The sequence below is a fragment of the Homo sapiens genome, chromosome 14 (assembly GCF_000001405.40).
Source record: "Homo sapiens chromosome 14, GRCh38.p14 Primary Assembly".
Lineage (NCBI taxonomy): Eukaryota > Metazoa > Chordata > Mammalia > Primates > Hominidae > Homo > Homo sapiens.
Genome location: NC_000014.9, coordinates 85760489 through 85782141, shown reverse-complemented (window position 1 = coordinate 85782141; position 21653 = coordinate 85760489). Strand labels below are relative to the sequence as shown.

Below are 21653 nucleotides of genomic sequence, written 5' to 3'. Positions count from 1 at the left end.
TTCAGACTTCTGGAAAGGAGAAACAACAGGGAAACAAAGGAAGCATCCCCATGGTCATAGTATTTCCTTAAAGGTAAGTTTTTCACTAAGCACTACAACAACCAGTTAGAAAGGGAAAATAACCATCTGCAGGATGGTCTGACACTTAACCCCAGTATGTTGGAACCAGTGATAGCTAAATCAAGATGGGAAACTGTAATTTGTAAGGATCCAACAATTTATCTTTTCCTTTGGGTGAAAGTATGGATTCCTTAGGCTAGATTTCTTCTTATTTTGTGTTATTCAATTTTTTTTTTAAAGGTTTCCAATAATAGCAGGAAGATTCCCTGAATTATAGTTAGGGTTGCCAGAAAACAAAATACAGGCTGCCTAGTTAAATGTGAATTTCAGGTAAGCAAAAAGTATTTTTATATAAGTACAAGCACTTGTATTTGCTAAAATTGAGAACCTTAACTATACTGGGCAAAACTTCTAAGCATAAAAATGCAAAACAGTATCTTCATGAAGAGTTCTGCCATGTCTGTATAAATTATTATTATATTGACTGGGAAATAGGCCTATACTTGGAAGTGAGAGGTTAATAGTTTTTTTTGTTTGTTTGTTTGTTTTGTTTTTTCTAGCTCAGCTTCAGGGAAGATTGAGAAGGCAAGGATGGATTCCAGGGTAGTAAAGATAAGGTCAAAGCCACTCCTATTGGTGGGAAATAAGATGACCCCTTGTACCAATTTGGCTGTTGAAAGACCAGGACATAAGAAGACAGGTAGTTTGTTGGAGTTATTATGGGAATAGCATAGCCCACAGATATAGGAGCTGGGACAAGGGACAACTGGAATGGATTTGGGAAACTTATAAACATTATTCAGGACTTCCCACAAATCCTTGGAGAGGGGAATCTGACAAAAGACTAAAAATCTTGTGGTCAAGCAAGAGGAGATGTAGACAATTGCTAAAGGGGCACTTTAAAGAGAAATGAGATCCTTGATTAAAACACTAGTTCATTGATTAGTCCAACATCCCCAAATTAATACCATCCTCATGTTGTACATGATAGAAATACAAATACACTAACAGTAATTTTGCCCAGGGGTTGGGTTACATGTAGACATGTAGAAACAGTGTTAAAAATTTCAAAAGTTAAATTATGTTTTATCATACCACTGTTTGTCAGAATAAGTTCCAAAAAGGCTTTGATCTTTAACACCGCTGGGTCTAACATGGCTGCCAATGTGTAATGTGTCCACATAAGTGATAAAAATTCTTCTGGAAGTTTAGCACTACAAAGGCCAATAGGAAAAGTTCTTCTAACTTAAACCAGTATTCAGAAATAGCTGTGGATGCTGCATTATAAATATACATACCCCAAAAGCAAATGAAGGTGATGAAAATTAGTTCACCAACCACTTAAAAATAGTGCTTAAGATGTTGCAGATGAATTTCCCCTCTTCTTTTGATATTAACTTAATTGATTAATAAATGATTTCAAAATGTGACAATTTTCAGGTCTGATAATCTGCTCTTGAAAGATGTTGTGTGCATGTAGATTTCATATCAGTTTTTAAGTATGAAATATTACTGAGGATAAATGCTTATATAAGTGGCTACTTTGAAAACATTGTGAAAAATTTAAATAAGCATATAAGAGTAGTATTATTCTCTTTTAAGCTCCTTGAGATTTTCTTCTTCCTTTACCTGTATTTAAAACAATGAATGAATAAATAAATAAATTTGTTAGATGGATGGATGGATGGACAGAGAGACAGATAGACCGATCAATCAATTGATCGATCAATAGATAGATAGATGGATAAAAGTTTATTACATTTCACACTACACTGACATGAATTAAGGCATGTTCTGAAACATGAATAACTGCTTTAAAGAACTGTTTTTCCAGATGGCCGTCATTATATTTTGAAGAGAAAGAAATTAAGTTAAGAATGAATGTATGAGTGTTACCTACATAGGCATTCTTTGTGGAAAAGTCCTGAACTTAATAAAAGTTATACCATTCCCTTTTCTTAAGCCCACAGAGAAAAAAATGTTGGCTGTGGTTACTTCTTTCCATATTTTCCATAGAGGTTAGATGCCAGAGGATGATTTTACTTTAAACAAAATCGTAGAAACAATTCCACGTCTTTACATGTCTGCACAAGTTTGAGAGGTAAAGAGAGAGAGATGGTAGGAAGCATGAGACACTAATGAAATTGTTCTACACGTGCATAAAATTTCCATCCCAGAGTCCCTAATGTTGAGTTATCCGAATGTCCAAAGCCTTGTGGTCTTGAGTTAATGTAGCATTTTCCAGCTGGTTCTTTTACATGTTGACAGCATGCAGTATAAATTCATAAAATGCTGCAACCACAAGGCCTAAAGTCCGATGGTAAAGCTATTGCCTAGTTTATGGTTTAATAACACTAATACTAACTCATTTTACCTCAACATTGACAAAACAAATGTACATTAATAAGGTTAAAGAAAAAGAATTATTGCCATGTGAGGGCTGCTCATAAGCAAAGCTTGGACTTTGTCTCTAAAATGAAAAGGAATTGGTGAAAAACTCAAAATTTTGATCAAGCAACAAGTTGTTTTTCTTACCACAAAGTCAAACATGTTGTTCAAATGACTTTTAAAATAAATCCAGGGGAAATAGATATCAAACAATAATGGACACTAATAATTCAAAATAAAACATGCCTACATTGATCAGAAAGATAATCAGTTGTGTCAAGCAGTCACCAATTAAATTACTAGAATGTATGCCAGAAGGGATAAAGTAGAAATATAAGATACAGTCCTTTTCTTCAAGTCTCTATAATACAATTTAGTAAGTAAAGGGTTTGAGAAAGGTCTAAAGAATTGGATGACTAGGTTCTAATTCAGTCACTCTCAAATATTTTGGGTCATGCCTGTGTTAAAAAACATCATTTATAACATAACCAAACACACATAGAACATTCACACACAGAGACACTTTTATTAAAACATAAACAACTGGTAATGCTTACACATATTACATTTAAAGCACTCTGAATATTCATTTTTGTTTTTTAATTATGAGTCATGATCCACAATTTCAAAGACACTGGCCTAGAGGGCAGGGCTATGACCTCTTCAAGAGCAAGAAGCCTACCTTGTATCTCTATATTTCAAGGAAAGAGTCTAGTGCCTAAGGTTGAATGAACAGATAGTAAATTCTTTGTGAATGATGGAATAAATAAATAAATGGAGTTTACATTCATCACGCTAAAAATAAAAGATTGGAACTTTTGGAAGTGGTTATTATATTTCCCTCTAAGTGTAGTGTATCCCTACTGTTGCTAGAAAAATAAGTAGATTAAGTACATATATAGGTAGGTCAGTGATAAATAGAGAGATGGTAGGTAGATAGATTAGATAGAAAGATATAGATAGATAGATAGATAGATAGATAGATAGATAGATGATAGATAAAGATAACATTTCCCAATAAATTGAAGAGTTATTATAATCCTTTACATCTCTCTCTAGACTAGAGATCTGGAACCAATTAATCACAAAGTGATATTGTATTATGGTCAAGAACATGAATTTGGGAGCCAGACCAGATAGATTCAAATCCTAGCTCTGCCAATTTCTTTGTGACCCTTGTAAGGTCCTCTGAGCTGGCCACACCATGGTCAAGCCATGGTGACATTCCCCTGCCCTTGTGATATGTATTTTGTGATATTCCTTGTGAATGTACTTTGTAACACCCTCCCCACCCTTGTGAATGTACTTTGTGACATCCTCCCAGCCCTTGTGACAATACACCCTCCCTTCCCTTGTGAATGTACTTTGTAACATCCACCCACCTGTCCTTGTGACAAAATACCCTTGTGACAATACACTCTCCCTGCCCTTTTGAATGTACTTTGTAACATTCCCCCACCAGTCCTTGTGACAATACATCCTCCCCGCCCTTGTGAATGTACTTTGTAACATCCTCCACACCCATGAGAATGAGAATGTACTTTGTAACATCCATCCCCTGCCGGCAAAAAATTGCTCCTAACTCCACCGCCTATCCCAAACCTGTAAGAACCAATGACAATCCCACCACCCTTCGCTGACTCCTTTCTCAGACTCAGCCCACTTGCACCCAAGTGAATAAACAGTCTTGTTGCTCGCACTAAGCCTGCTCAGGTGGTCTTATACGGATGCGCATAACAGCCCTTACTTGGCAAAAGTGGTTTAACCATTGTGTCCCAATTAACACATTTGTAAAATAAGAATGGTACTGCTTCATAAGCATAGCTCATAAACTTGTGAAGATTAAATGATTACATAATAAAAAACCCTTAGAACTATGCCTAATATGTAAGAGCACTAAATAAGTGTCCCTCCGTCTTTCTTGGTTATTTCAGAGTGACAGACATCATTTTCTCTAGCTTCCCCTCAAACACAACAGCTGAGGTACAGAGATCAAAATGTGTCAGTGGTGAAAATGTGTCACTTGAATGGGTAGTGGTAAGTCACCCATGATAGAGAAAATTTAAACACACTCTGAAAATTCACAAAGAATGTAGATATTACCCATGATCTTTTTAGAAAACATTGCACTTTTCTCCATTGAACTGCAGACATTGTATTTTTCTCCATTGAACTGCAGCAACGTTGACTAACTCCAGCCTCAACAATGGGACTAACTCCAGCCTCAGCATAATGGTAGAACCTGAAGAACACAAATAAATAAGGACAGCACTGCCATCCTTATTGTGCCATTGGTTGATTTAGCAATGGGCATTTAATCTAGGCCTAAGTCAGTCAGCATAAGTCACTACTTTGACCACAAGGTATGGGCATGTGATTTCAGATGGCTCTGTCTGAGGGAAGTAGAGGGTATTGTTCCATATCTGATGCAACAACATGCTCTCATATTTTAGATCGTGAGCCCAGGAATGACTGCAACAATTTGGCTACTTGAGTGAATCATCTCAAGAATCACCTGAGGATAAAACCAACCTGAGGAGGAAGGGTGGATTATAGAGGACCCCTGAGACATGGAGATTATTAAACCACTGGAGGCCTCCTCTGTCTCTGGACATCTCATTTATGTGATTTTATAAATTTTCTATACTGCTTAAATTAGTTTGAGTCAAATTATCTGCTGAATTGATTTGCAAGCATCTGACGAGGGGTTCACCTAGGTGACTTACAAGGTCTCATCCAAACCTGGATGTTTCTACCTCTAAATGACTTGCAACTTTATTTCACCATCAAACATGGAGAAAAGTTTTTTCCCAATGTGTTAACTTTATTCAAATGTTTATGAAATTTTCTTTAATTAATAAACTAAAGATATTGAAATAGGTCAAGTACTTACAATGTGTCCGTAACAGTGCCAAGAACTTGGCAAACATTTTTTATTTAATTTCACAGCAACTAAGGGAGGTTGGAACTATAACCATCCCTGTTTCAGATGAACAAAATGAAGCTACTAAAAATTAAATTTCCGCTTAAATCATATAATTAGTAAATGAAGAACTAGAATTTAAACATTATTTTATTTATCCCTTTAAAAAGTTCTTAACCACTATATTCTGCTGGTTTAAATTAATCATGGGTCAGGTGATGTGCTAGATAGGAACTAGAAGCAAAACTCCTTACAGGCCAATAAAAGTATTTGAGAGTCTATCATGTGCCAGGTGAGATACACAACTGAGTAACTGAATTGGATAAACTTGGAAAGGCACAATCAGTATTTTCATTTTCCTCACCAGTGCCTTCTAGTGCAGTCTGAAGTATTCCCATTCTCGGATATGGGGTTACAGTGGGTCAGATTGTAGTACATTTCAGCTCTAAGGATAGTCTAACTTTCAGGTATTAAAAAGTCTGCATAAAAGATTTCCAGTTTCAGCCATGTTGGAGTAATTATAAAGAGCTTCCCCTCCCACCATAAACGACAATAAAACTAAGCAAAATGTAAAAGTAAAATTTTTCAGACTTTGGATAAAAGTCTATGCAAGACGTGATATTTCAGAAAAGGGAAATAAATGAAGTAAACCCTACAGTATTCCTGGTGTTCTTCTATGGAGGCAATTATTATTAGAGAAGTGGAAGTCAAACAGGACCCTGTAGTCTTGCTGAGTTCAGGAGACTGGAGTAAGAGTTTGAGGAGGAGGCTAAGGCATGGAAAGTTTTTGTGGCAGAGTTTCATAAAAACTGGAACAACATAGGAAATGAGCTCGAGAAATTTGCATAGAGATCCCTTTAAGTATTTGCTAAGTATTAAACCATGGATATTATGTCAATCAGGGATCAACCAGAGAAACAAAATCAACATAATGGATGTATATATCCATTCTACTGGTATATATATATATATGTGTGTGTGTATATATATATATATATATATGTGTGTGTGTATATATATATATGTGTGTGTGTGTGTATATATATATGTGTGTATATATATATGTGTGTGTGTGTGTATATATATATATATATATACACACACACACATACACACACATACATACACACCAGTATATATATATATACTGGTAATATGTATTACATCATATATATATATGATGGGCATTTAATCCAGGCCTAAGTCAGTCAGCATAAGTCACTACTTTGACCACAAGGTATGGGCATGTGATTTCAGATGGCTCTGTCTGAGGGAAGTAGACATATATATATATATGTACATCACATATATATATATGATGTACATCATATATATGATGTAATACATATTATATATATTATATTATATATAATTATATATATTATATTATATATAATTATATATATTATATATATATTAGATGTAATTATTATAAGGAATTTCCTTATGCAGTTTGGTGGAGTGGGGGTGCAGTGTGGTAAAGTGAGCTGAAGCAAGGTGGACAGAGTTAGGAAGTGAAGATCATGATCAGGCTGGAACTTTGAGTTTGAACTGGTGCTTGAGTTCACAGGCAGGCAAGTAGAAAGGATAGATATAGGGGGAAAAAGTGGGGAGCAATTTCAGGCCTCTGTGCTGCTTGTATTCTGTATCAGGGAAAGCCTAGGACCCTCTTTTAAGGACTTCTATATGACTCAGACCCCTTCAGGATAACTTTGTTTTCATTACCTCAAAGTTAACAGATTTTGATTTTAATTCCATATGCAAAATTCCTTTAAAACAACATCCAGATTAGTGTTTAATTGATAATTCTGGAGAAGGTGTGTATAGCTACAAAATGGTTGATGTCTCCCCTGTAGCCCATTCTAACCTGCAACATATTAAAAAGGGAATTCTAGGGAGTGTTGCTCACATGGAAAATTTGGCACCTCACAAAGTGATCACAGATGTGAAAAGAAAAATTTCAAAAGACAAGCAAAGAAGGAGCAATTCCCTAAACTCACATAAGGAAGAGAAAATGTGAGTTCCAACAAGCCAGGGTAGAGAAACTAGAGGAGTCTATCTCTGGAATAAAAATTACTCTGGCCATGCCCTAGCAAAGTTTCAAAACAGGACAGAAGAGATCAAACTGATCTTCCAGTAACACGACTGTCTGCTAAGACAAACATCAATGCTCCTTAAAGAAAAAAACAAAATCCAGACACTTAACAAGATAATGCCAAAATGTTTAACAAGCAATCAAAAATTAGTAGACATCTCAAGAGAAGGTAGTGTGACTCGCGAGCAGAAGGAATTTCAGTCAATTGAAGCAGACCAAGAAGTGAGACAGATAACATAATTAGCCAATGAGGATGTTATAACTATGTTCAAATATTCAAAGGAAAACATGAACATATTAAAGTTATGTTGTAAATAAAAAATACAAAAAAAGCACCCAGATAGAACTTCTAGATATAAAAAGTAATGTTTCTGGAATTAAAATTTTACTGAATGACATTAATTACATATTAGACAGTACAGAAGAAGATTTTAGTGATATTGAGACATAGCAGCAGAAACTATTTGTAATGTAGCAAAGTGCCAAATAAAAAGACTGAAAGAAAATGAACAGAGCTTAAAATACTGGTGGTAAAATAACAAATACCCTAAAGTATGTGTATTTGGCGTTCCGAAGTATAAGACACAAGAAAAGAATGGCAAAAAACAGTGACGGCAGCAACAACAAAAAACAAACAGAAAAATACCCCAACATATCTGAAGACATAATGAATATTTTCCAAATTTGATTGTAAAACACACCACACACACATGCACACATACACATACACTCACACATATACGTACACTCACATACCCACAGGTCAAAGAGTTCAAAGAACCCAAAACAGGATAAATACAGACACAGATATACACTCTTCAAGACATATCAAAATCAGATTATTACAAACAAATGACAAAGAAAAAAAATCATAAAGGCAACCAGGAAAAATAAATAATTATATATAGAAATGAAAGGTTGAGAATAATCACAGATTTCTCTTATGTTCTCAAAGCATAAGAGAGCTGGAGGTCTTATAATCAGACTAAGGTTCAGAAGAAGGTATATTATCTGAGATAAAGATAGAAGTTTTATAATGATAAGAATATTAATTCATAAAGAAGACATAACAATGCTAAATTAGTATGCATCTTAAATTAGAGCTTCAAAATACATTAAGAAATGGATAGAATGGAAACAAAATAGACTAAATTAAAATTATAAATGGGAATTTCAACACTCCTCTCTCAAGAGTTGGTAAATTATAGTTAGAAAATAAGTAGGTATACTAAAGATTTAAAAACTATCAACCAACATGACTTAATTGACATTTACAGAACACAAGCAGACTGCACATTGTTTATGGGCACGCAGGCAACATTACCAAGATAAGTCATATGTTGGCCCATTAAACAAGTCTTAATAAATAAATACAAAAGTATTACAATGATATAAAATTCTCTAACCATAAAATTAAACTATTAACAGTCCTAGAATGGCAACAGGAAGCTATTTGGAAATTAGACAAAAGAAGAATTAGACAATATGTTTCTAAATAACACATAGGTAAAAGAAAAAATTGCAAACAAAATGAGAAAATATTTTGAATTAAATAAAACAAAAATTACAACATATCAAAGGTATGGGGTGCAACTAAAGCTGTGTTGAGAGGAAAAATCATATATTTAAAATTTATGTTAGAAAAGAAAAAAACAATTAAAACCCATTATCTAAGCTTCCACCTTAAGGAGCTAAAAAAAAAAAAAAGAGTAAATTAAACACAAAGTAAGCATGAAAAAGAAAACGATAAGGACGAGAGCATAAGTCAGTGAAATAGAAAACTGAAAAAGGAATATTTGAAACCAAATGTAAACATCAAAAATGAGAAAACTCCAGCTAGAAAGACTGAGAGAGAGGAAGCAAACAACCTGCTAATATCAAGAATGAAAGAGGAAAAATTACTAGAAATCCTTCAGATGTCAAAAGGATAACAAAGAATATTACAAGTAACATTAAGCCAATAAATTTAAAAAATAGTTTACATAAGCAAATTCCTTGAAAGATACAAATTAACCAAACAAGCTAAAGAAAAAGATAATCTGAATATTCCTGTGTCTACTAAATGAATGGAATTCATAATCAAAAATTTTCCCACAGAGAAAACTCTAGTCCTAATTTTTCTTATCAATTCAAACTTAATAAGAAAGAAAAAATATCATTCCTATGCCAACTCTTTCATAAAGTAGAGGAGTGATTACTTTCCAATTCATTTTATAAGGCTAACATTATCCTGATATTAAAGCCATAATATATTTCAAAATCACACACCAGGGACTGTTGTGGGGTGGGGGGGCGGGGGGAGGGAGAGCATTAGGAGATATACCTAATGCTAAATGACGAGTTAATGGGTGCAGCACACCAACATGGCACATGTATACATATGTAACAAACCTACACGTTATGCACATGTACCCTAAAACTTAAAGTATAATAATAATAAAATTTTAAAAAAAGGTAACTAGAAAGTAATATCTCTTTTGAACGAAATTCTTAACAAAACATCAGCAAATTTAATTCAGCAATAGACAAAAAGAATAATCCATCATGCACAAATGGAACTTATCCCAGGAATGCAAGGCTTGTTTTACATTGTAGAAAATCAATTAATGCAATACACATTAACTGATTAAAAAAGAAAATGCACTATGATTACTCAGTGTGAGCAGAAAAAACACTTGAGGAAACTCAACACCAATTATAGTAAACATTCTCAAGAATTAGCAATAAGAAGGAAGTTCCTCAACTTGTCAAGGGAATCTACAGAACACCTATAATTAATATCATAGATAGGGCGCTATTTAATTTCTGCCTTTACTACTTTTAATCAACATGCTATTAGCCATCCTATCAATAAAAACTAATAAAAGAAATAAAATTGAAGGACTTGCATTAGCTGATTTCAAACTTATGTAATACAACAATAATCAAGAACTTTGGTATCTATATATAGTTCAGAATTAAACCCATTTATACATAGTTAATCCATGTTTGACACAGGTACCCAGATGGTGAAAACATAGCCTTTTCAACAAATGTAGTTGAAGTAATACAAATATTAATTTGGAAAAAAAGCAAAGTCAAGCATTTATCTCTTGACATACACAAAAATTAACTTTAAATGGATCATAGATCTAACTGTAAAATCTAAAACTAGAAAAGTTCTGGAAGAAATCATAAGTGAACGTTTTTACAACTCTGGGATGGATTTCTTAAACAGGGCTCCAAAAGTATGAAACATAAGAGAAAAAATAATAATTTGGACTTTACAAAATGAAAATATTCTCTGTTGGTAAGACATGGTTTAAAAATGAAAAAGATAAGCCACAAATTTGGAGAAAACATTTATAATATGTTTATTGCAAATAAATACTTTGTATTTGCAATAAATATATTGCAAATATTTTATAGATACTGGGTACAAACTCTTTGTATTTGCAATAATCCTCACAAAGTATTATCATACTTTTGTTTTCAGTATTTGTATCCAGTATATACAAAAACTTCTTACAACTCAATAAGAAGACAAATAGCCTAATGCAAAAGTCTTTGAACATTTCTCAAAAGAAAATATATTAATGGCAACAAACACACTAAAAATGCTCAAAATCAGTAGTCAACAGGGAAATGCAAATCAAACCAACAATGAGATGGCACTACTCACTTACTAGATTCGCTAAAGTTAGAAACACTACATCAAGTTTTGGCAAGGATGTGGAGAAACTAAAACTCACATACACTGCTCATGCAAAATAGTGTGACCTGGAAAATAGTTTTATAATTTCTTATAAAGCTAAACATACTTACCAGATCATACATAAATTCCACTCGTAGGTATTTACCTTGAAAAATGAAAACTTATGAGTGCATAAAGACTTTATTGTGTATAACAACTCTATTCATAATAGCCAAAAACTGGAAACAACCCAAATGTCCATCAGTAGGTGAAGGGACAAATTGTGGTATATCCATACAATAGAATACCAGTCAGAATTCAAAAGGCACACAGTACTGATATGTGCAACGACATATATAATGTCAAAAACATGAACTAAGCACTCCGTAATATTTGTTTGAAATTTGAAAAAAAGACCAATCTATAGTGACAGAAAGTGAATCAGTCATTGCTCAGGGCTGGTAATGGGGAGTGTGAGGCAGTATCTTACATAGGTCTCAAGGAAACTTGTAGAGATGATTGTATTTTGGATGGGTGGTAATTACATGGGTGTGTACCTTGTCAAAACTCATCAAAATGTGCACTTAAAACTAGATGCTTTTTAGTAAAATATTTAGCACTGTCTAGTTCTTCCATTGCTCTTCCCCCATTGGTGTGACTTTGTCTTTTAATGCCAGGGCTCCCCTATGTTGGGAGTGGGATTAGAGGAAAGGAATAAAGCCCTGGGTGCTATGATGGGTATCAAAATGCTGTCCCTTGATCTTAAAGTTCAGATGGGGGGTTTTTCCAAGGCACTTTCTTCTCCAACCCTCCTCCAAAGACTGGATTGCACCTTTTCCTGACAAAGTAATGGACCCTGTCTGTCAAGTGATCCCTTTCTGTTTCTGCCCCCAGACAATACATCTACAGCTTTTTTTCTGCGAAGGTCCCTTTGGGCTACTGGAGAATCAAAGGCCAGTTCCCTTTCTGAATAATACTCGTTCACTAGTAACTAGGTCATCTCCCTCTAAGAAATAAAAATAATGGCTTCCCCCATGGCAGATCTTTTTTCCTCTTGTCCAGCTATAAAGGACACCACTAGATATGCCCCCACTCACCCCCGCTCTGCCATTTCCAGATAAAAAAGAAGGCACAATTCTCTCCACATATACACATCAGATTGTCAGAACACTTCCATCCTCTGCCTGCTCCTGTAATAGCACAGCAGCAGCCTACATCTCAGCAACAGTCTGGGTGGGAACAAAGGTGCTAGATGCCATAAAAAGAAAAAAAAAAGAAAAGAAAGAAAGAAAGAAAACTCTCAAGTGCTTATGAGAGGTTCTTCCAGTTTCCTCTTCATTTAGCCTGAGGGACAGGGGAGAAACAGCTGGTTCTTTCCTTCACCTTAATGTGAGAGAAAATACCATTACATTTTCTTCTTTTTTGTTATAGGATCACTTTTTTCAAACTTTTATTTTAGTTTCAGGGTTCACGTGCAGGTTTATTACATAGGTACATTGTGTGTCACAGAGGTTTGGTATACACATATTTTTTTTTAATTTCTAGTCTTATCCTGAAGATCGGTAATGCTGTTGGTACTCAGTTTGCCCAACTCTTACTAAATCTTAAAGAAACGTGTGTAGCAGCCCTCATAACTCAGGATTTCCTGTCACCTACTGTCTCCAGCTTTGGCTCCTTAGACAAACAGAGACATGAAGAGAAGTTCCACTTGGCATTCTGTGACATGGGCTAGATTCCTGGGATAAGGAGCCCAATAGGGGTAAGAGGTATTCTCACCCTCCCAGAAGACCACAGGCAAGTAGAACATACAGTCAGATAAACAAATCATTTCCATACAAGATAGTTAAACCCAGTGGTAGTCACAGAGAGATTCATCTCTTGAGAAACTCACAGTCTGATCAGAAAATAAGCTGAGGATGAAGCTTTGCAATAAGAAATGGGAGGTCCTATATTAGAGAAAACCACAAAACAGAATGAAAGTGCAGAGGGGAAGCACACAGAACAGCCTCAAACTCTTCACCCATTACATTCATCCATACTACTTTTAGTATTTGATGTACATAATGTCCTCTGGTTGCTTTATTTAATTCCATGCCTTTGCAATTAGCTGGCTCTTCTTATTTTTTTTAGGCAATCACCATTTGATATCTCCCTAGAAATTAGACATAAATATAGTTTTTAAAAATTCTTCATGTTTCTCCATCTGTGGGCTGCAGAAATTTACTGGAGGCATGGTTGGCTTAAATAAAACACTTAACATCAGTATTATATGCATTCAATATATGCATTTATGTATATATCCGTATTTATGTAGCTCTACACAATAAGTATAATTTGCCAGTGTAATTACCAGTTCTAAGGATATCTAACTGCCCATAAGTAATTGTAAAAACTAAATGTTCCTACTTCTATATTTACCAAAGTTAAAGAATATAATTAGCAAGTTAAATATAATTGAAGGTCTGTGACTTAGTGTCAGATCTGTATGAAATTGAAATGAGTTAACTTCAACAATACTGGATTTCCAAGAAACATATTATGTCTTGGATATTTCTGTTTCTCTATCTCCCTTCTTACTTCCCTTTCTCCCACCTCTCTCCAGATGTGATGTAAATATTAAGTAATTGAACTAATTCTCAAGGAAAAAGTATACATGTGACTTAGAAGTGTTTTTTGTTTTTGTGGTTTTTTGTTGTTTATTTGTTTGTTTGTTTGTTTTTGAGATAGAGTCTCACTCTGTTGCCCAGGCTGGAGTGCAGTGGTGAGATCTTGGCTCACTGCAACCTCTGCCTCCTGGGTTCAAGCGATTCTCCTACCTCAGCCTCCCGAGTAGCTGGGATTACAGGTGCCTGCCATCATGCCCAGCTAATTTTTGTATTTTTAGTAGAGACAGAGTTTCATCATGTTGGACTTAGAATTTGATCAAATATCACTTAACTGCCATTCAATAGTATTAGATTTGCAAACCAATAATAAATGAGATGATTTAAAAAGAAAAAAGAGAGAGAAAGAGAGAGAATTAAAAATCATTGGGCTAATGCCCATGTGAGTGTCTTTACCATAAGCTAATCCTGAATTAACAGGTGTGCTCTTGGATAAACAAATCACTTGGCTCACTTACATACATTTGGCATGTAGTATGAAACAAAATTATTTTGCAACTCACACATTACTTAAAATTAAAAATATAAAAATGTATAAATCTGCTATTTCCTTTTAAGTGACAAGTGGCTCAAAAGGGCAAAAAAAAAAAATGGCGTGAAAAATAGTATTTTTCATCCTTCCCATTATATACCGGGTTCTATCCTAAAGAGTACATCTTAAAATAATTTCGTTTAACAAATACTTCTACAGTGCTTACTGTGTATAGGGCTCTGTTTTAAGCCACTTTATGTATTAACTCATTTAATTATCATAACCACCCTAGGAGGTGGATATTAGTCCCACTTTACCCATGGGAAACTGACAAACTACAAAGATGCAACTGAGCTGGGATTTAACCCCCAAGCCTTCTGGTTTCAGCAAGTTACTTTTATTCTGAAAGAAAGCAAAAGAAAGTTTGATTCAGTCACATGTCTTATATTTGGCAGAGTCAAAATTTGAACTTTGTTATATTTGCTATCAGCATTTCTGATCGCTACTTTGCAACAGTAGGAGTAGCAATTCAGATCAAACCAGTTAGCTGCAAGCAAAGCCAGCACCTCTACAGTTTGGAGTTAGCAAAAATTGACATGTATCAAACTCCAACTATGCATGTGCTAGGTCTGAGGGGTAAGTACAGCAAAGAAAATGTTTTCACAATTTTTCCATCAGCGAACATCATGATTTATACTTGTAGGTATACAGTAAATGTTTCTTGCATGAATAAATGTTTAATCAATTTAAAAATTACCTACCCTCAGTGAACTGAATTTGAGGGAGGAGGGCTTAAAAGAAAGATCAAGGATCTAATTTGTTCTAGGCAGAGGCGAGGCAGAGGCAGGAGAGTCTTTCAGAGGGAGTAACAATTGATCTGAGATTCAAAGAATAAAAAAAAAAAAAGGCAAAAAAAGACACAAGAACCAGATGACCATTCCAGCATATAAAGTAGTGCACTTCCATTGTTGAATTATGCGAGATTCAGTTATCTGTTCCTTCTTAACAAACATTTCCAAAATTAATGGTTTAAAACAATGATTACTACTGTCATGGTTCCTGAGGTGACAGGTGAGCTGGGAAGTTTTTCCTGCTCCAGGTGTTTTCAACTTGGTGGTATTCAGCAGGTAGACAGGCTGGTCCAGTAGATATAAACCATGTCTGGCATCTTTACAGGGATGCCCACAAATGCTGGACTCAGCTTAGAATGCTGAGCCAGGAACCTATACCTTGATGGTCTTGGTCCAAGGTGGGCACTTGTGAACTTCTTACATGGCAGTGCAAGAAACACTGGGGCAAGAATTCCAAAAGACCGGAGGGGAACCTGCCAGCCTTCTTACAGCCTAAACCTGGAATGTCCGACCATTACTTCCTTCACATCCTATTAGTGGAACAAGTCACCTAGGCCAGCCCCAGGGGAGTGGAGTTAGACTCCATTTCTCGAAGAACTTGTAGCTGTCTTTCATCTATAATCTACCACACTCTGGTAGCACACTGAGCTTCAAATCACAATGCAGATATACATCCAAGAAATAGTAACTATGCTAATACTTCTAATGGATGCAGAATACCTTAATAACCATCGTAACAACACCCATGTGAACTGAAGCCCATCCTTAAACATAAGGGAAACAAATCCTATGGCTTCACTTTGATGGATCAAGCATTTGCTCTAGATTGTAATTAGCATAACAGTGAAAACAGTCCAAATAAAAAGGTAGACGATAGATGTTGTTTCCCAGCAACCTGAAGATAAGGCACCTCTGGATTCAGCCCTTACTACAGGTGGAAATGCAGAGACAGGAATCCGATCTGTGCAAGAAAGATTACTGGATTGGTGTTCCTCTCTTTTTGGTAAAACCAGCTGAAAGCCCATTAGTGGAAACTTGCTGTTCCCTTTACGTGTGAGTGCTCTGAAAGTCCCCCTCTCCCTTTATCCCCCATCCCTCCCCACCAATTCAAAATAAACCTCGCTAAATTAAAGCCATATTTGCGGATCATAAAAGGAACTTTATCTTAGTAGCCAATAAATAGTAGTAGGTTTTGATTCTTGTACATGTGCAGTGTGCTGTCCTGAGTGGTTCACTTTATTTAGCATTGCTGGGAGATTGGTAATGGATTTCCCCGACAGATCCATCTCTGGGTAGATCAGATCAGGGAAACGAGCTCTTTGGGGGCACAGGCTTGTATGGAATTGTAACAGTATGTGTTCACTGACCCCAAGTTGAAGGAATGTTTCATTCCACCACCCTGAAATGGAAACTGATAGTCTCTGTTGTTTTCATTGCTTAAACTGCATATTATTTTGAGGAACTTTATTTTAAACTAACTTGAGTGGTAGCATAGCTTTTCACAAAAAGAAAAAAATAAATCAAATGCTTCATATTTTGCTGGCAGCATATTGGTTAACTGAAAACAATTTCTTTATGCCTTTACAGAAAAGAGAGCAAACTCCTGAATTTAAGGTGAACTAACAGTAATATTTCTCTCTCTCTTTCTTTCTCTCTCCCTCTTTCTCTCTCTCTCTCTCTCTCTCTCGCTCTCACTCTCATTTTTCTGTGTATTTGAATAAAAGTAATAAATTCTCTCACTTGCTTAAAAACTCTGGCCCAATGCCTTTGAAAAAAGTCTCTGAAATCTTAGTTTGAACTGAATCTGAGTTAACTGTCAAAGATTTCTCCCTGAAGTTGTGCTCTCTTCGAAATTTAGTTTCCCTTGGACACAGTATTTGCAACCAAAGCAATCTCTAGAATGGAAGACCAGAAACTGCCCAGCCTGCGTCTGACCTTTCTGGCAGATGTTTTTAAATGGAATGGATTGCCTTTCCCAGCCCGAAATGCGTAATCTTTGGTTAGGGTTGTTTTCCATGCAAATACTTAGACAGACTGTGGTTTGTGCTGCTGGGCGTTGGTAATGGGATATGCACAGAGCTCAGGTCACTGACTAAACCAGCTGGATCAGAAATGACCTTTTTAAATCTTAGGATGAATGTTTGATACATTAGGGAAGTTAGCGGATCTGGTCAGCACATTGTTTTTTTTTGTTTGTTTGTTTGTTTTCTTTTCTTGTGAAAGCCCAAATTATGATCTGGACAACTCATTGGCATGATGAACAGAAGAAATATAGAGATACATCTTAATTCTGATTTGGCCAAAAAGCTAATTGGCCAACACAACTATAAATATGTCTCATCAAGTGATGTAATAAGGTGAGCCTACATATGGTTGTTTAATGGTTGGTGACCAGCAGGTAGAAAGAAGGCATGGGAATGTTTCCCCCTGAATGACTCTATTTGCACAAGAACTTCATACAAGTGAAAAGACTGGGGAAACACAATCTCATAGCAATGTGGGAACCAGTGTTCAGGGACTGAATGTCTTCTGCTTATTTTATGGTAGTGAGGTTCCTGAAGGGTGTATTAACCCTTCTCCTAAAAGTTAAAAATGAGAACTAAGCTTATGAGTGGTGACTTGCAGATAGCATTTTTTTTTTGAGACAGAGTTTCACTCTTGTTGCCCAGGCTGGAGTGCAGTGGCACAATCTCGGCTCACCGCAACCTCCGCCTCCTGGGTTTAAGCGATTCTCCTGCCTCAGCCTCCTGAGTAGCTGGGATTACAGGTGCTCGCCACCACACTCAGCTAATTTTTGTGTTTTTAGTGGAGATGGGGTTTCACCATGCTGGTCAGGCTGGTCTCGAACTCCTGACCTCAAGTGATCTGCCTGCCTTGGCCTCCCAAATTCCTGGGATTACAGGCATAAGCCACCTCGCCCAGCTGTAGATAGCTTCTTAAGAGGACATGTTGGAGCTGTGACTCCCCAAATGATGGACCAGGCAATTCGTATTGCACTGGACTCCTCCAGAGAGGTGAAGGAAATCAATAATGAGTGTGTCTAACAGGCAATAAGGGCCTCTTTTGGGGGCAGAAAGTTTACTGCAATGAAAAGAGCAGAGATTGCATAGGTCAGCTGACCTTGTATTAGACTTCATTTCTGCAACTTTTGTTTGTCTGGCCTTGGGCAAATCATTTAACCTTCCTGAGCCCATCTTGTAGGTAATACCTTCAGTTTTATAGTAAGGGTTAGTAAAAATGTATGTAAAGCATCTAACATTATGCCTGGTACATGGTAATGACTTATAGATTGCATTCTCTATGATCCTTCTTGTCTTACATGATAGTATCATTTAGTGAATGAGACAGAACCAGGTCTGAATATGAGATTTACCCCCTTTGTAGCTGTATGAATGAAAACAAATTTCTTTCCCTCATAAAACTTCAGTTTCTTCATTTTATAATGGGGAAAACAAAAATTACCTTATAGGAATTACTTGATCATGAAATCAAGGCTCCTCTGATACAATAAAGTGCCTAAGAGAGTTTCTGACCTATAATAGTATCCATTTGTGTCATTTCTGTACACACACTTCCACAGCCTGGGGCATAGATGAATAGGAAATCTTGTCAAGGGTCTTTGTTAAATCTAGGGGGACAATAGAGCCAGATTTGAGCTCGGCCTTAAGACAGAACTATCACAGCAGAAAATGTGGCAATAAACTCTGAGGAATTTGTTACATTTGAAGGTGGTAGAACACATCCATGGTGAGGAAGACACAGGGAAATAGTGATGAGATTAAAGTAGTCACAAGAATGACTCCTGACACAAACAGTGGGACTTGTAATTGAAAAAACAAAAGAAAAAAAGAGATTCAAAGAGGCTGAGAGATGTAACTAGTGCTTGATTTGCCATTAATGGGGAAACTTCAGTGGTTTTCATTGGGATGATAACCAATTACAGACTTGAAACTCCAGGCACCCTTCTTCTCTTTCTTTAATGTGCTTCAACTAAGTTTTAAATGATTTATTCTTCCAATTTTATTTGATTTCAGCATTTTCCCATATTTTTCTCTTTTGGAACATTCCAGGTCTTTTTACATATTTCACTTTAAAGCTATAAAGCATGCCAGGAGCTTCAAGGAATGAAAGAACTGATATTTACGCTGCTGTGATACTTAAACTTTTCCCCCTGAACTCACACCCAAAAACTTGTCTATAGGCCAATTTGCATTTTGGCCACATTTTGAGGAGTTGGCAGCAATAACCACGCTGCAAACTCACACCACATGTGGTACTAATTGGCGCAGTTGGCGGTTTAAGAAGAGAGGCTAGGGATTGAGTGGGCATGGAAACCTAACAATACCTTCACACAATGGTTCTCAACAGGAGATAGAAATTAGAACTGTGAGGGAAAGGATAGGCCTCTGTGGCAGGTCAATAAGATGAATTGCTCAGTGCTTTGCAAAAGCAACCAAAACCCAGAAAAACAAAACAGAGAAAAGACTTGAAGTAGACACTGTAATTTTTTTTTCTTTTTTTTTTTTTTTTTTTTTACCAAACTTCCAGAATAGACCAAGAACTTGTTCACTTAACATGTACAGTCAAGGAGCATAAATGCACAGATGAAGGAACGATCTGGGGTCAAACAGGCACCTTGGGCCGTTTGGATATTCACTCATTGATTCCGGCCAGTGAACTTCCCCCAGGTCAGTTTCTCCATCTGCAAAGCAAGCAGGAGTCTTTCATCGCATTTGCCTCCTACCAGCTGAAGGGAACAGGGAGCAGATTTGTAGTTTGTTAAAGTGCTTTGATTTTACAAACTTTAAACCCAAACACAGGAATCTCTCATAACATCTTAGCTGTGGGTCTCTGTAGGCATGAGGAAAGCGGCAGTGGTGTTGGGGATAATTATTCCCCTAGACAGCTGTGTTAGAAACAGAATTTGCAAGAAACAGAATGGAGCCTCAGGGAATTGGGGTTAATTGTAAGGATACATGAGGGAGGATGGAAACACAGGAGCTGCCTCAGTAGCCACATCGAAAGGCTCATGGAACTGGACAGTTTTGCTTTTTTTAACTCAAGCTAAAACAGCAGCTTTGGTTTCCCTATGGCAATTATAATGGTCTTAGCATTCAGCATCTCTCTTTTCTTTCACTGTGCCTGTGTGTGCTCACTTCATATCAGAGCACAATGAAATCAAAGAGAGCTCCCTGATCTGACCCTATCAAGTTCTTTCAGAAGCTTCAGCTTTCCTTTCCCTAAAAAATAAGAATGTAATTACAAGAACCTAAAATTACGAATGCGAGTATTGCATCTCTCTCTCTCTCTCTCTCTCACACACACACACACACACACACACACGCTTCTCTAAAGCTCATCTCTGAAATTTGCAGGGCCTGAGACAAGGATATGACTGTAGACCCCTAGACTTCACCCCTTCTGTTCCCATCCCAGCTCTGTTTTCAATATGAAGGGCCTTACACACTTCTGTGTGAACACAGCCCTTAAATCCAAGCTCCATTCATTCCCACATACCTGCTTCCCCACATACCCCGACAAATGGCCATTCCTCCGAGACTTCAAGAGGTCAACTGAAGAAGAAGCCTGTGCAAGAACAGAAATGGATTCAGAGACATTGGGTCAGGGAATTCCAGTGCCTCAACCAACCTACTGTGGCCTAGAAAAGACCCCTTGTGCTAATGAATGTCTTGTCCTATGGGATAGAGCTAAGTAGGATCACGATACAGAGTCATCTAAAGTGCACAACCCTGGGAAGGACCTTATATTACTTGGGTTTAAAGCAGGAGTATCTAATCTTTTGGGTTCCCTGGGCCACATTGGGAGAATAAGAATTGTATTGGGCCACACATAAAATATGCTAAAACTAATGATAGCTGACGAACTTTAAAAAAAATCATTAAAAAATTTTAAGAAAATTTATGAATCTGTGTTGGGCTGCATTCAAAGCCATCCTGGGCCACATGTGGGCTGTGGGCCACAGGTTGGACAAGTTTGGTCTAAAGCAACTTATTTTAGTTTTCTTCTCTCTTCTCAATTCATATCTGTGTCTTTTAAAACAACTACTTCTAGGACTACACCTACTATCACCATCAGTACTATTACTACTGTATGAAGAACAAATGGGGAATCATATTTAAGGAATCTCCTTTAGAAAACATGAGGCAGATTATTCTTGTAGGCTGCCTTAGCTCAGGTTCCCATAACACATGTCATAGATTGGGTGGCTTAAACAGCAAACATTTATTTCTTACAGTTCTGAAAGCTGGGAGGTTCAAAATCAAGGCTCTAGAAATCCAGTGTCTCGTGAAGGCTGCTCTCTGGCTTGTAGATGGTCTTCTTTCTGTATTTTCTCAATGGTGACGAGAAAGGGAAAGGAAGTAAGATTTCTGTAACTCTTCTCACAAAGGCACTTCTTCCATCAACAGTGCTACACCTTCATGACCTAATTACCTCCCAAATGCCCCATCTCCAACTAACTCATCTAATGCGTTAAAGAATGCCATTTCTCCTCTTGGCCACCCTAAT

At 36.5% G+C, this 21653-nt stretch overlaps 2 annotated features.

The window, feature by feature from the left end:
* Nucleotides 6882–7051: an enhancer, noted in NCBI's record as "experimental_38047 CRE fragment used in MPRA reporter constructs". NCBI's record gives its function as "activates a minimal promoter by MPRAs in K562 erythroleukemia cells, with activity observed for both the introgressed and non-introgressed 14:86241520 variant alleles {active_cell/tissue: K562}" and the evidence as "EXISTENCE:reporter gene assay evidence [ECO:0000049][PMID:34662402]".
* Nucleotides 10741–10910: an enhancer, noted in NCBI's record as "experimental_38044 CRE fragment used in MPRA reporter constructs". NCBI's record gives its function as "activates a minimal promoter by MPRAs in K562 erythroleukemia cells, with activity observed for the introgressed 14:86237661 variant allele {active_cell/tissue: K562}" and the evidence as "EXISTENCE:reporter gene assay evidence [ECO:0000049][PMID:34662402]".